This window comes from Homo sapiens, chromosome 16 (assembly GCF_000001405.40).
Source record: "Homo sapiens chromosome 16, GRCh38.p14 Primary Assembly".
NCBI lineage: Eukaryota > Metazoa > Chordata > Mammalia > Primates > Hominidae > Homo > Homo sapiens.
The window spans coordinates 51,762,488-51,778,267 of NC_000016.10; the positions used below are offsets into that span (position 1 = coordinate 51,762,488).

Below are 15,780 nucleotides of genomic sequence, written 5' to 3' on the forward strand. Positions count from 1 at the left end.
TCTATTTAACATGTAAACGGAGGAAGATTAATATCTCTGGAACAGTCCCCAAACGTCTTGCCAAGGGCACAGGTTTTCAGCTTTAAAGGTGAAGTTGAGTTTATTTGCATCTAAAGCAAACAGTTGTTTCTCCTCCTTTCTTTCTCTCTGTTAAACATCGTATCCTAACCATATCCTCTTTACACTCCGGCTCTGCGTGCTTCTTTATGGAGGGGAGGTCGAGTTAATGGCAGCTGTCTGGGTGTCCAGGTTAATTCATTTCCTGGCGGCGTGGCGGTGGTGGTGAGGGGGATTCTGAAGTGCTTTTGGAGACACTGGGGCTCTGTTTGCCCATCCATTCCAGGAATCAGTGGAGGGACAGCCCCTCTCAAGGGCAGAATCTGAGGATTGTGGAAATGCAATCAACACACTTATGCGTGCGCCCACACTGCTTTGAATGGGATCCCAGACTCCAGGGAACTCATCTCTGATAAATTGCAAAAGACCCAAACTAAATGGACCAAAGAAGCAGTCATTATGCTTAAGGGAGGGACCTCACTGTAACACAGAATAAAGTGTTACCTGCAATTATTTTTTAAGGTTGTGGGGGAAATCTCGGTATCCCAATTCTAACTACCCGGCCTTTTGCTAACTGACTGCAACACTGACTTCCAGCATCTCACATCCTCTTCCTCTCTCTATCTTGCTCTATCTTCCCACTCTTACCCAGTCCCATAACAAACAGGTTGGGGTGGATGCCCTCTATGTCCACATTACTTAGGGAGAAAGGGGAGGCTGGATCCATTCCTGGTTTCCACCTAAGGATGATTTGTTTAGGCCCCTGTTGTGAGGATTCTGTGATCCTTGGTGCCTGGTGGCTCACAACAGGGATTAATTGCAATTGTCTTTGTGTATGGAAGGGACTAGGCTTTTTCTTAGGGCGCTCAGCACAGCACTGCCTGCCACTGAGACGGTTCAGGGCACAGAGCTCTCTAGGCCCACAAAGAGGTCTGGCTCTCAGGACAGCCATGGGAGGGGCCTATGTCATCAGGAAAGGGCGTTGTTTTCTCCAGGGCTGCCTCTCAGCCTAAAGAGACTTTTACTCTAATGCCATGAGCTGTCCTTTTGCAGACTAGCAACCGGCTGGTGAGTGCTTTCAGGGGATTGCTTCTCTCTCTCTCTCTCTCCTTCATACACTTTTAGAAACAAATACAGTCAGAATCATTAATTATAGAATTGGAGGCCTAGGGTTGCCAGATAAATTACAGAATACCCAGTTACATTTGAATTTCAGAAAAAGAATGAATAGTGGTTTGATTTTAGTGTAAGTATGTCCCAGATATTACGTGGGGCATACTTACACTAAAAGATATTCTTTGTTTATCTGACATTCAGATTTAAGTGGATGCCTGTGTGTTGTTTTTGTTTTTTTTTTTTCCTCCCTTCCTTCTCCCTTCCTTCTTTCCTTTCTTCCTTACTTTTTTTTTTCCTTCTCAACCTGGCAACCTATTAGAGACCCTCTAGTAAAAATCTTTAGCCAGGAAACCAAAATTGGCAGAGGCAAAGTAATTTGCCCAGTTACACAGCTGGTTCGAGGCACAGCTAGGGTCAGAAATCAGGTCTAGAAATTTAGTTTTGATTCTCTCGATTAACCACACTGTCTTTGCTTCCCCAGGATAGCCAACTGGGAGCTAACGTACCACATAAGCTCACGTCATAAAACCAGTTCTTCATATAATCATTTCAGAATGATTCACGCGTGCTTCAAAGAACCATAAAGTAAAATACCATTCATCTGGAAATGCCACTAGTTTATAATTTGTGAGGTTTCCTGGCAAAGTGAATCTTTACCTAGAGACCCTTTTCTGGCTGAGGAGTCCCACAGCTTCCTTTTCTATCACCATTGTTCATGATTGTTTTAAGGACTTTGTTCTACCAAGTGATTTCACACTCTTAAGCACACAGTTAGATACAAGCAAAGAGTGTGCCAATTAGCCTCCTCTTCCTATTAAAGCAAAAGTTCTAAAGCCATTTCATCTTATCTGGATAAAAAGATTAATCTTAAAATACTCTAATATGCATTATTTCAAAGACTTACATTGGTTACCTATCTTGAGACTTCAAGATTGGTGGCAAAACTGTTATTCCATATTGTGGCCAACCTCAGGGCAAAAATGTGACCTTATATTTTGGCTATGCTGTGACCAAGTGTCCTTGTTCATGTCTCTTATGACATCTGAGCCTCACTTACATTATTTTTAAAAGGAGGGGTTAGTTCCTTATTAAGTCCTCGAGTCCATTTTGGTTCTAAAACACTAGGTTTCTAAAAATCAGACATGCACTCTGTTAACCTCATCTGTTTTTGAAGTTCCAACTGGAATTCAGCAGCAAAAATTGCATCTAAGTCTTTTGTAAGTATCCACTGTGCCCAGGATGGTGCCACAAGCTGCCTGTGCTCCCCAAAGCAATCTGGCCATCAAAACCAAAGTATAAAACCTCACACCGAGGAAGAAAAGAAAAAGGTGTTAATGAAACTAGCTGTAATGCAAAGAAAGGTCAGCTTCAGCTGCAAGCACTGAAATGAAACCATATAATTGCAAGTGGCAAAAAGGGCTCCAGGTGAGACAGGGACTTTGTTTACACCATGCCCTTCTTTTCTGCCAGTCTTATCATCTGAGTGGCTCTTTCTGGACCAGTGAAATAAGAAGCAACAGGCTGAAGATCTGAACCTTCTAGAATTAGATCCAAGTGCCCCAGCCTAACAACAGATCTCCATGAGCATTTCACAGGCTCATTATTACTGGCGAGGGAAGGTTGCAGTCAGGGGCAACAGAAAGAAGGACTGTTCTTGCAAATGATAGCAAAATCTTGTTTTGCCTGGGAACTCCCTCTTTCCCACTTGGACTTTGTGTTTTTCTAATGAATGTCAAAGAGCAGTACATGAGGCCAGGTGGAGATAGAAGAGTGATGTTTCCCTATTTTCCTTTCTTTTTTTCCTTTCTCTTTTGACTTTATTTTTAGCCTTAAAATTGCTCCTGCAGAGAAACCATTCAACACAGGTGAGACTCAACCCAGAGCCAAGGTGCTGGAGAAGCCGAGGCTGCCTTTGCTGGTGGCTTCAAGCCAGGAGAAGCTTTTGTGTCTGCTGGGTGTGGTGCCCACCAAGGAGACCAGGCTCTGACAGGACTATGCCTCCCAAAGACAAATGGATGAATTTTTTTGAAAATATAAAATCCTCATGTACTCTATTTCATGAATGGAACCAATTCAAGGACCTTGCTCTGAAAAATGCTATTCAAATTGTTTTCATTGAAATATTTTCTTGCGCCTCCACTTCATCTTTGGAGCATCCCAGGGGCTTTCCCTCTCAAGTACATGCTACAGTTTTGCAAGCTCCTTTTCTAGAATGGAGATGTGCTCTCAGGACTCTATTGGCCAAATCTAGACATAACCAAAAACCCAGGGACAGCGTGCTGGGGAGGGTGTTGACTATTCAGTGACTGAAGAATTAAGTACTGTCCTGAGAAGAAGGTAGTGACCTCACAACCTGATCAGGCAAATGCTTAGGGCTTTGTCCCTTTCTTACAGATTAGAAAGTTCCCACATTTGCCACTAATAATAACTAGTACTTATGAAGGTTTACTATGTGCAAAGTACTTTGCATCCAATTCTCATTTATAGGTACTGTTATTGCCATTTTATGGATGAGTAAACTGAGGCTTAGAAAGGTTTAGAAACTTGAGTAACATCACATTGCTATTAACTAGTAGAGGCAGAACTAGAAACTAAGTCTCATTGACTCTAACAGTCCGTCTTCTCAATGACTTTTGACAGTAATAGGTAAATTTTCAAGGCTGTGGTCAGCTATGATTGCATCCCTGCACTGCAGCCTGGTGTTGAAACAAGACCTCATCTCTAAAAAGTAATAGTAATAATAATCATAGGTAACTGTAATTGACTACCTACTATGAGCCAGGCACAATTGTGAGCACTTTATGCATTTTATTGCAATAAAACTTCATGACAACCTTGTGAGACAAGTACTACTATTAAGCCCATTTTATGTATGAGGAAAGTGAAGGACAGAGATTAAGGAAAGAGCTGGTGACTTTAGCTACTCACCCATATTGGCCACCTGGGTCAGTGGAGGTTGTTGGCCTCTCTTCAAATCCAAAGAACAATAAAGCCTCATTCAAAATGCAAAAGAAAAATGAATTTGAAAAACAACAAACACACAGCAAAACCTACCCCTCCTCTGCCCACATCCCAACTGGACAGCTGTGTGTATCTTCTTTAGCCTTTCTTTAATTCCCAACAGAGTTTCTCTTCTACTCTTCCTCTTCATATAAATGTAAGACTTGGGGTGGGAGGCAATGTATGCCTCTAAGGTATGTGTGATTCTCTCGTTCTTCGTGGCCACAGAGAATGAAGTCAGTTCTCTAACAATTGCACAATCTCTCTATCTCTTATCTTCTCTCCCTCTGTCCTCTGTCTCTCTCCACACACACACACACACACATACATACACACACACTTTCCTCCTTTGATCTCAAAATTCTGAAATGCAGTTTCTATTAATAGAACTTTCTGTTGATTCATTAGCTAAGCACCAGCACACCAGTTTAGGATAGAGATGCTCTGAGCCTACCTACTGCTGTGAGGCTGGGGTCTGGGCTCCTAGCCCAGGCACTAACCCACAGGCTGGCCAGCCCAGTAGCTGCCTGATGAGAGTGCAACTCTAAGGAAGCCAGCAGGTTTATTTCCCTCAGTAAATCTATTCTGATTAATGTAAACACTGTATAATACTCCACCTGTAGGTGTTGTAATTAAGGTGCATCGGGACCACAATCAGCACAGTGACAGGCAGAGGGAAAATTATTGACCTCCCACGGATTTTTTAAGTCAGCACATTTAGTACTGTGAAAATCACCAAGTCATTAGCAGAGGGATATTTTTTAAAAAATTCAAATGAAAGAAGTCTGCTCATATTACAGCTATTTGTTTGCTAGCCTCTTTGTTCCCTTTTTTTAAGGACTTAAGTTGAAAATTCTCCCCCATTCCATCAGAGCCTCTGCAGACTAAGGGGCACCAATCTTGGTAGGAGGTAAAAGTTTTCCATCCCAGATTTGGAGGAGCAAATGGTTTCTCTAAGGGAGACTGCCGCCCAAGCCCAACGCAGAGGGTCCTAGCACAAGAGGCCACCAAGCAAGCATCCTTTTCTTGTGTTTATAGAGCCAGGATGACCATGAGTGTGACTTGCTGGGCTCCCACGTTGCCTAAGAGCTCACACCTTGGTGCCAAACTAAGCTCCGTGGACGCGCGCGCGTGTGGGAGGGAGGTTGATAGCTGTAGCCTGCAGCTCTGCTTTCTGTCTTGGCATGGCAGGTGTCAGCATGCAGCCCTGGGAGGCAGACAGGCCCCTTGCCTCTCCCTGTCCTTCCGGAGATAGTACCTTCTGGCCTTCATTCCCAGCTACCCCTCCCCGACCAGAGGACTGGAGATGCTGCTTGTGATGAGTTTGAGAAGCAGAGGTGCACCGCACCACCCATCTCCAGTCAGACTCAAGAATTCCTGGACTCTGGAGTCGTGCCTAACTGGGTTCTGCTTCCTGCTCTCCTAATCCCTTGCAAATCCTCCTTGTGGCCCAGTTTCCTCATCCATAAAATGGGGATAACAACAGTACATACCATGTAGTAGTACATACTGTTGTGAAAGTTGAAAGGGATGATCCATGACAAGCCTGCACAATGCCTAGCACATTGCAAATCAGGGGTCTGCAAACATTTTTGGAAAATGCTAGATAGAAAATAATTTAGGCTTTGTGGACCATATGGTCTGTGTCACAACTAGTTAGAGTTAACTCCGCCACTGCATGCTAGAAGCAGCCGTAGACCATATGTAAAGGAACAAATGTGGCTGTGTTCCAATCAAACTTTATTTACAAGAACAGGTAGAGGGCCTGATTTGGCTGTTGGGTCATAGTTTGCAGAACCTTCTTAATTTAAATAATGAATAAATGTCAGTAGCAGTTAAAACATGTAACATTAGCAAGCTGACCAGCTATTGTATACAAAGAATTGTGAGTAAATTAAGAAGATGTAATCTCAGCCCTCTTGTAACTTTTTTTTTTTTTTTGAGATGGAGTCTTGCTCTGTTGCCCAGGCTGAAGTGCAGTGGTGCGATCTCAGCTCACTGCAAACTCTGCCTCCCAGGTTCACGCAATTCTCCTGCCTCAGCCTCCCAAGTAGCTGGTACTACAGGCGTCCGCCACCACTCCCGGCTAATTTTTTGTATTTTTAGTGGAGACGGGGTTTCACCATGTTAGCCAGGATGGTCTTGATCTCCTGACCTTGTGATCCACCCGCCTCAGCCTCCCAAAGTGCTGGGATTACAGCTGTGAGCCACTGCACCCGGCCTGCCCTCCTGTAACTTATAGTGAGTATTAGGGGAGGGGAGGTATTAATTCACAAATATTAAATGAGAGTCTACTGTATCAAAGAAGGTGACACACAGATTAAAAGCTCTTACATAAAGACTAAAGCAATACATACCTTCGAAATGTTTAATTTTCGTTTTATAAAATGCAACTGCCACCCCATGAAAACAAATCAGGAAGATTTTTCATTAAAATCTTAATTTTAATTCAGTTGCACTGCATTAAAATTACATTACCTTTACAGATTTTTTTCAAGAAAAATAATAAAAATGAAATGTGCATGAACATCATCGCATCACACTCTAAACATGGCATGCATTGCTTTAAGTACATTCAGCAGAAAGGAAAGCCATCGGATAGGTTTTGTTTCAGCTCACAGCCCGTTTGCCGAAGTCAATACTCAAGCAGTCAGAACAGCCAGCTTGATATTTTTTGATTGAACAGTCTCCTTAATTTAACCAGGGATCTAAATTGTGGAGAAGTCTGAGATCTGAGCTGCTAAAATGGTTAGGAAATAAATGGACAGAATATCCTACCTTTAAGATGCAATTCCAAAGATATCATTTAAACACATCTTGGGTTTATCAGATATGTCAAAGAATGTGTATCTATCTAGCACTCTATCTATCTATCTAATCTATCTGTCATCTATCTATCTATCTATCTATCTATCATCTATCTATCTATCTGCAATTTAATCTTTAAAGTCAATAAGATCAATTATACACAGATAGAGAGGCAGTTGCTTAACTTAGCTACTTGTCATCTGAAAAGAAATGAATCCTGTTTGAGAGATAAGCCAAACTGACATTTTCTACATTATAGACCATGTACTTTTCATTCATTCATTCACTCATTTTACAAATATTATTGAGAGTATACTACATGCATTGCTTATAGCTAGGGGCTAAGAAATACAAACATGAATGAACTTGAGCTCCTGTTACAAAATGCTTAGACAGAGCATATGGAGAAGACCATATTGCTGATCAGGAGGCTCTCTGGGAAAAATCCGCACACCCCATTCATTACTCTGAAGAACCTTAGTCAACATCTAGTTTTTACAGAAGCAAGGTCCCTCTTCTAACAAAGGACACAATTTTAATGCAAAGAAAGAGCCTGTATCACCTAGTTGTGTGGTAATGGCACCCCCAGACTGATGATATCGACCAACTGGCTTTTAGATCCTGCAACAACAGGAGATTCACCTGTTCCTGTGCTCTCTTTCTTCTGTATGAGTCAGGCCGCTTCTCTGACAACCAATGGACTATTCCTTTCACAAAAATTGTTGAAATGGGTGCTACCTTCCTGCCACATCTATTTACTTTTACTTCCTGCTTTTTCATCTCTAAGTGATTTACTTTTCTTTCACTTTCCTTTCCTAGCACAATCTTTTCTTTTCTCTCTTTTTTTTGAGAGAAGGTCTTGCTCTGTCACCTAGGCTGGAGTGCAGTGGTGTGATTATGGCTCACTGAAGCCTTGACCTTCCTAGGCTCAGGTGATCCTCTCACTTCAGCTTCCCAAGTAGCTGGGATCACAGGTGCCTGCCATCATGCTGGGCTAATTTTTGTATATTTTTTGTAGAAATGGGGTCTCATTATGTTGCCAGGCTTGTCTTGAACTCCTGGGTTCAAACAATCCTCCTACCTTGGCCTCCCAAAGTGCTGGGATGATAGGTTTGAGCCACCTTGCCCAGTCCACTAGCACAATCTTTAGGTTCAGACATTTCCCACTTCTCTTGGTCCCCTCCTCTAAGTCCCCCAGAGCAGTAACCTGGTTCACAAACATATTTTAGGTTTTATGCACTCTCAAACTTCCTTCCTCTTCTGATGTTTGACTGTGTCTCAGATGTGAGGATTGCATAGTAATACAGTAAAATTCTATGAATATGCTGGCTTCTGGGATGCAAGGGGCTTGGAGCTCCTGAGTTCTAAGCCCTAGACCAAAGTTGGCCACGGTGCTCATTTTCAAAGGCAATCACAAGATGAATATCAAAGAATGTGCACAATGCACATTGGGAAACCTGTCAGAACATTGTTGGGAAAATAAAGTGAATCAATAGAATGTCAAGAGACTCAAATGGAAAAAATATTGAATATTCATTTTCTCAGTTTCACAGGGGTAGGGATTTACTAGGACCAAGGCAGCTGGTGGGATTTTCGGCTTTCCTTGGAATGGTTCAAATAATTTTTGTGCTGTGCATTGGATTAGTATTCAATTAACTCCTTTAAAATTATAATGTGCAACTTCAACAAACTTGTTAACGAGCCTACAGCACAATTAGAGCAGTTAATAGCCACCAGGTACAACAAATGAATGCTGTATGTCCATAAACAGGGGACATCTGAAACAAATTCAGTGATGGTGTTTCCTATTTGCATATCTATTCTACTTTCAAAACCAGCGATACCTGTAAACATCAGAGAAAAATTACAGAAGGGTCCTTTTCTCCCATATATTTGTCAAAGAAAATCTGATGTCAAAACCTTGTAGAGATTGTTTCTTTCTAATGTGGCCAGTCCCACTCCAGGAAATCCGATATGCTAACACAACCAGCTCTTAGTGGAGAAACCTAATCGGTACAGTGTTACTTGTATTGCAAACCCATCACTATGGTTGCCAAAATGTTTTAAACATAATCTCTCTCTTTCTCTTACATAGGCCATTTCAATTTAAGAAAACAAAAGATGATCCTGTGAACACTGTATCAGGCATCATTACTGGACTGAAAAAAGGATCACTTGATGGACATGCCTGGCGTTTTGTTTAGGTACATTTCACCATCAGACACTCACCCTCACTCAGAGAAACAGAGCAAACAGAAACATCCATAGTAGGGCTAGAAATTCCAGGGGAGGACCAAGAAGGCATCTGTCTTCCTGTTGATATGTAAAAAATGATTTGAAAAAGAATGCATCAGACTTCCATTATGATGATAGGATCAAGAATGCAACCTTCTGGACATTTCTGAGTTTTCTTAAACTGGATAAATAAAATGCATTGTAAGAGCTTTTAGCATTTGGTTTAATGCTAAACCATCTCTCTTGGCTGAAGAATTTTGCATTTTAATTGGATCTATTCTAAAATAACAGTGGAAAATTGATTTTAAACCTAAAGGTTGTATTCTCAATCATTTTATTCCCAGAAGTACTATTTGTAATTTTTTTCATAATAGATTTTTACCACAGGATATAACGTTATCACATGTGATACATCTTTATCTATGCCTTAGAAGGTTTCCACTCCTTTTACAAATTCAAAACGGCCTTACCCACTCTCCTTTCCACACACATCCACACAATTATGAAAGTATCATGTTATGATTTAAATAGATTCACTACTTTTGATAGTTTGTGGAAGAAATGCTACATCTCTTTTCCATGAGGCTGTAAAACTTTCTCACCATTCTTAAATAACAGCCTAAATAATAAAATCTAAAAAAAGTACAATTTAATTTGTTTGTTTTTTTTCAGAAGTATTTCTTCTCTGGCCTTAGAAGATTAGTTTTCAAAGCGATGGTAAAATCATTGATGTATGTCTTTTCAAGAAAAAGAAAAAAAAAAGACTCCTAAATGCCAAACATTTGCTCTTTGGAGCATAGCAAGAAGAAAGGGAGAGGACCAGACGGCCACATCCTAAGAACAGAGTATTGTCCAGGTAGCTGTCGCCCCAAATGGGATCTCTTTCCAGGTCTTTTTGTTAAAGCTTTTCTTTCCTAAATAAAACTTAATTTTCTCTCGCTAATCTTTCCAGTGGGTGTCTGCCGCTTCCTCATGCCTTGCTATAAGAAAGCTCGTAAAAAGGAAGAAATCTAAAACTAGAACAATTCTATATTCACAGTTTCTCTGACATTAAAAAGTACTCAAGAGAAGAGTTTTTTTTTTAATTTAAAGAAACATCTGTCCAACATGGATGATTTTGAAGAAGAGCACTCCCCTTTGTCCAGAGCCATAGAAAGATAATTTAATTACACTTATCATTACACCCTCCCCAAATTAGACTACAAATGGATCTTGATTTCTCATGATTTTTTCACTTTACAAAATAATCTTAAAGTTTAGGAGGAAGAAAAGATGCTTAAGAATAATCAAGAATGCTTGGAAAAGAGGAAGAAAAAGGGAAATTTCTCCTACTGAACCGGTAGTGCTGGGAAGGGAAGAGCGTGGTCCCTTTAAATGACAGGGAAGTGGGGCAGGGAAGTGCTGGGTAGAGAAAGGCGAGGTCTCTGTCTAGGGCTCCACCCCCAGGGACCTAGGTGAGGACAGGCACTTCTGCCTTCAAGCCCAAATGTTGCATTTTCCAAGACCACCCTGGCCTGCCACACCCCCATTCTGGGCCTATAAAAACCCAAGACCCTAGCAGGCAGACACAAAAGCGGCTGGACGTCATGAAGAACACATGGACAGAAGACACAAGCAGCTGGTAGTGGAGAGCACACGGCGGAATGACGCAGAGTTTTACTGGAGCAGGCCGCCAAAGGACCCGACTCCAGGGGAAAACCATCTCCCTTCTTGCTCCCCCGTCTGCTGAGAGCTACTTCTGCTCAATAAAACCTTGCACTCATTCTCCAAGCCCATGTGTGATCCATTCCCGGGATACAGAAAGCCCTCTGTCCTTGTGATAAAGAAGGGGGTCTAATTGAACTGGTTAACACAAGCTGCCTATAGACAGCAAACCAAAAGAGCACCCTGTAACACACGCCCACTTGGGTTTCGGCTGTAAACATTCATCCCTAGGCACTGCCATTGGATCGGAGGCCCACAGTCTGCCCATGTCTACGTTCCCCTAGGAGGTTTGAGGAGCGGGTGGCTGAAAAAGCTAGCCACACCCCCAGCGCATGCCCTGCAGGGGGGACAAAGGAAACTTTCCAGTTTCACTACCACCATTAGAATATCTTACAAAGTCGGCTAGGCGTGGTGGCTCACGCCTGTAATCCCAGCACTTCTGGAGGCTGAGGCCGGCGGATCGCCTGAGGCCAGGAGTTCAAGGTCAGCCTGCTCAACATGGCGAAAACCCATCTCTACTAAAAATATAAAAATGAGCTAGACATGGTGGTGCATGCCTGCAATCCCAGCTACTCTGGAGGCTGAGGCAGGAGAATTGTTTGAACCTAGGAGGCAGAGGCTGGACTAATAATCATGCCCGTATCTAAGCTATTATCTGTAAAAAGTTGTACCTATTTGCATTGCACTCTAGCCTGGGCGACAGAGCAAGACTATCTTATGGTAATGGTGGCATAGGATTAATGAAACGGAATAGAAGTCCTAGAAATATTCCCAAGTAAATATAAGAAGTTTGTGTATGATAAAAGTGGCATTTAAAAATAAAAGGAAGATGTAGTATATTATTCAATATTTTGGTATTGTGGCAACTGCCTATTCGTTTAGGGGAGGAGACAAAAGGTAGTCTCTGAGTCATACAAGTGAAAGTATAAATTTGAGGTTTAATAATAAGTATTAAAAGGAAACAATTATATAGATGTAATATATTTATAAGTATGAAAAACCAAGAATAAATTTTAGATGTAATATATTTATACATATAAAAAACGAAATGATTATTTTCTAAGAATATGCTGGTGGATATTTATACAATATTGAATTGGGAAAGCATCAGTCCTGAGGCAATAATCATAAAATAAATGAATTAAGTTTACTACGGAAATACTAAAATTGTCTGCCCATCAAAACATACCAAAAATTATGACTAAGAAGAAAGGACAAATTGGGTAACATATTTAAATATACATATACATACATATATATACACACACACACACACATATATATATACACACATACATACAATATGCTCAACATATAAAAAGTTTTAACAACTTTGTAAGAAAAAGATTAACACGGATAATTTACAAAAGAAAAATAATGCAATGAAAAATAATTTACCTACCTGCATTAGGGTTCTCTTCGAGGGAAAAAATAGGAGATATATATGTAAAGGGGAGCTTATTAAGTATTAACTTACGTGATTACAAGGTCCCAAAATAGGCTGTCTGCAAGCTGAGGAGCAAGGAGAGGCAATCCAAGTTACAAAACTAAAGAACTTGGAGTCCGATGTTTGAGGGCAGGAAGCACCCAGCATGGGAGAAAAATGTAGGCTGGGAAGCTAGGCCTGTCTCTCCTTTTCTGCCTGCTTTATATTCGCTGGCAGCTGATTAAATTGTGCCCACCAGATTAAGGGTGGATCTGCCTTCCCTGGCCCACTGGCTCAAATGTTAATCTCTTTTGCAACACCCTCACAGACACACCCAAGATCAATACTTTGTATCCTTCAATCCAATCAAGTTGACATTCAGTATTAACCATCATACTAACCAAACAGCATTTAAAAATGTTTAATACTCAGTAATAGTTAGGATGTGGAAGAATGGGAATTCTCACACACTGCTGATTACAATGCAAATAGGTACAACTTTTTACAGATAATAGCTTAGATACGGGCATGATTATTAGTCCAGCAATGCCACTTCTAGAAGTTTTTGCTAAGGAAATAACCCTGGATATAAATAAGATTTAGCTATAAAGATGTCTGCAAACTGTTGTTTGCAATATTCAAAACATTAAAAAATAATCCTGTATGTATACAAGAAGATTAAGCAATTATTTAAAATGTTTCTGTAGTAAATAATATTTAATAAGTATTGTCATAATATTTTGCCAAATGAAAAAAAAGAAAGCAAAATAAAAATCTTACTAAAGATAATAATTGTAATTTATTCTATTTATTCTTTTTGCTTCTCTCTATCCAACATTTTCTATATTAAAAAAAATTCGTGTGTGTGTGTGTGTGTGTGTGTGTGTGTGTGTGTGTGTGTGTCCCCTACCCTGGCAAGGCCTGGATTCTCTTTATTCCATTCAAGATTTGTAGAGGATTGATTTTTCTAGTGGTATCCCTCCTCCCACCTCCTCCTTCTCTTCCAAGTACCTGGTGACCGTCATCTGAGTTATAATTTCACAGAAGCAGATTCTTCTTTTGTTTTTCTTTGTTGTTGTTCTTGGTTGATTTCAGAGATGACACAGTGTCTGGATACTTCTCTTTTGCCCTCTTTTAACTTTTTTTCATTAACATTTTAAGAAATTGCTAAAGTTCTTTGATCATGGCTCACTGCAGCCATGAACTCCTGGGCTCAAGTGATCCTCCCACCTCAGCCTCCCAAAAAACACCATGCATGGCTAATTTTTAATTTTTTAAGTTGATTTATTTTAATTTTTTTGGAGACAGGATCTTGCTATCTTACCCAGGCTGGTCTTGAACTCTTGGCTTCAAGTGATCCTCCCAACTCAGGTGATACAGAGTTGCCTAAAGCAGAAACTTGTCCTCAGCCCTGCAGCATCTTTTAGGAATGACCTAACTTAAAGCAAAAGTGGGATGTGTGTCTATTTTCTCATCTTTTTTCTATGACTTTATACATATTTTAATGATTCAATCCATTACAATGTATTAGGTATATTTTGTAAGGCAAAATATAATTGCTTACATTTAACTTTATGAATACTAGGAGCAGCCTTCTTTACTTTCTTCTGGGCTAAACAAGAGAGAAAATCAGGGATGGATAAGTATAAAATAACTGTTTTTTTTTTTTCCTGCGTATAACTGAAATTTCCAAATGTCTCTTTTTACTGATCAAGTAACTTGAATATTTATTTTTTAAAAAGATCAGGCTGATAATCAAGAATTGTGACCCTCAAACTGTAAGGATTCAAATTCTTGTAATTTCCAGCAGACAATATGAATGAGAGATGTGAACTACATCTAAGAGGTAGTAGGGAGTGATGGCACTAGCTCTGGGTCATGTATTTGTTGAGGGAATGAAGTCTGGGTTAGTTCTAGAATTCTAAGTTTTAGACAGAAACCTGAAATTTGACTATGTTCTATAAAATACTCAATTTTATATGTTGGCAGCTAATTTAAAAATTGAACAAATATAACTTTTATAATAAGGGGAAATTATGTTTAAAATACGTGTTAAATAAATTAAGTTATAGCTCTTTAAAATATAGAAAATCTCCAAACGTATTCTGAGCGGTTGTGGATAATGTTACTACCAATTAGCTGGAAATACCTTTTATGTTTTGTTTTGTTTTGAGAGAAGGTCTTGCTCTGTTGCCCAGGCTAACTTGCAGCGGCACAATCATAGCTCAAACTCCTGGGCTCAAGCGTTCCTCCCACCCCAACCTCCGGAGTAGCTAGGACTACAGGCACATGCCACCATGCCTGGCTAATTTTTTTTTTTTTTTTTTTTAGAGACAGGGTTTTGCTATGTTGCCCAGGCTGGTCTTGAACTCCTGGCTTCAAGTAATCCTCCGCCTTGGCCTCCCAAAGTGCTGAGATTACAGGTGTAAGCCACCACACCCCATCTGGGGAGAACTTTAGAGTTTAATCCACATGGCCAGGGGACCTCAATTGCTGCCCATGGCAGAACTCAGCAAGACAAAGATCACCCTTCTCTATATCTCTCTCACCTCAAGACTTCAGTGTATCCTAATGAGACGGCTTTGGCAGAGGAAGCTTCTATACGAAACAAAAACATGAATCAATATTTGAATCCTTATCATGAGCCAAGCATGGTGCTGGGCACCTTATTTTCTGTAATACATTATTTTCCGTAAACCTTATAAAAATCCTATACCTAGGTACTATTATAATTGCTACTTTATAGTTACAGAAACTGAGGCTTATAGATGGTAAATAATGCATATGGTAGTAAGAACTTCTTTTTGTTGGACTACAAATCTTATGTTCTACCCAATGCCTTTCCACTCATTCTTTATCTTCGTGTCTGCAACTTTTTCCAGAAGGGGTCTAAAGAAGCCTGCCTTCCCCTATGAAAGCACCTTCCATGCTGATATTATACCTCATTTTCCGAAGGGAGTGTGGTGTGATGGCACCTCAGAATGGCACCCAGGAACACCTCCGTTCAAATACCACTCCTCGCTCTTATCAGTCAAGTGAGTTGGAATGAGTTACTTCACTTTTCAGAAGTCCAGTTTCTTAATCTATAAAATGGGAAAAATGCAACGTAATTCTGAGGCTGAGGATGAGATAGGTGCCTCCTGCAAAGTGGAGGCTTAATAAATACTAGTCATTTCTCTTCCCCTGAGGAAACGTTATTACACATTGTTTATGTCACTCTAACATTGTCCTAAGAGATCTATGAAAATACGCAACTCAATTAAGCAAAGTTTGTCTCTGTAATGTACCTTAAGGAGAAAAAGATACATTGTGGGGAGTAGAGGAAAGATTAGGGAATTTTGTGGTTACAGCTCCTGGAGTTCATCTCTACCAGGCTGAGATCATCTACAGCCCAACCGTATACACCTACATCATCTACTGTCATTTGGAACCTT

General features: G+C 40.4%; 2 long non-coding RNA genes across 2 annotated transcripts in view, besides 2 other annotated features; one reads left to right on the forward strand and one right to left on the reverse strand.

The window, feature by feature from the left end:
* The window catches only part of LOC105371257 (uncharacterized), a 52,702-nt gene extending 43,409 nt beyond the window's left edge, over positions 1–9,293 (reverse strand). The window contains exons 1-2 of the long non-coding RNA XR_001752182.1: positions 9,211–9,293; positions 4,102–4,166 (exon numbers count right to left, since the gene is read on the reverse strand). This is a non-coding gene — a long non-coding RNA (uncharacterized LOC105371257). The remainder of the gene's footprint in view (positions 1–4,101; positions 4,167–9,210) is intronic.
* Positions 32–10,159, forward strand: LINC01571 (long intergenic non-protein coding RNA 1571). The gene is made up of 3 exons (NR_110916.1): positions 32–88; positions 9,077–9,185; positions 9,889–10,159. It is a non-coding gene; the product is annotated as a long intergenic non-protein coding RNA 1571 (long non-coding RNA).
* Positions 10,780–11,280: an enhancer, noted in NCBI's record as "H3K4me1 hESC enhancer chr16:51807178-51807678 (GRCh37/hg19 assembly coordinates)". NCBI's record gives its function as "activates a minimal SCP1, AML or CMV promoter by ChIP-STARR-seq in primed H9 embryonic stem cells {active_cell/tissue: H9 hESC(primed)}" and the evidence as "EXISTENCE:reporter gene assay evidence [ECO:0000049][PMID:30033119]".
* Positions 11,281–11,781: an enhancer, noted in NCBI's record as "H3K4me1 hESC enhancer chr16:51807679-51808179 (GRCh37/hg19 assembly coordinates)". NCBI's record gives its function as "activates a minimal SCP1, AML or CMV promoter by ChIP-STARR-seq in primed H9 embryonic stem cells {active_cell/tissue: H9 hESC(primed)}" and the evidence as "EXISTENCE:reporter gene assay evidence [ECO:0000049][PMID:30033119]".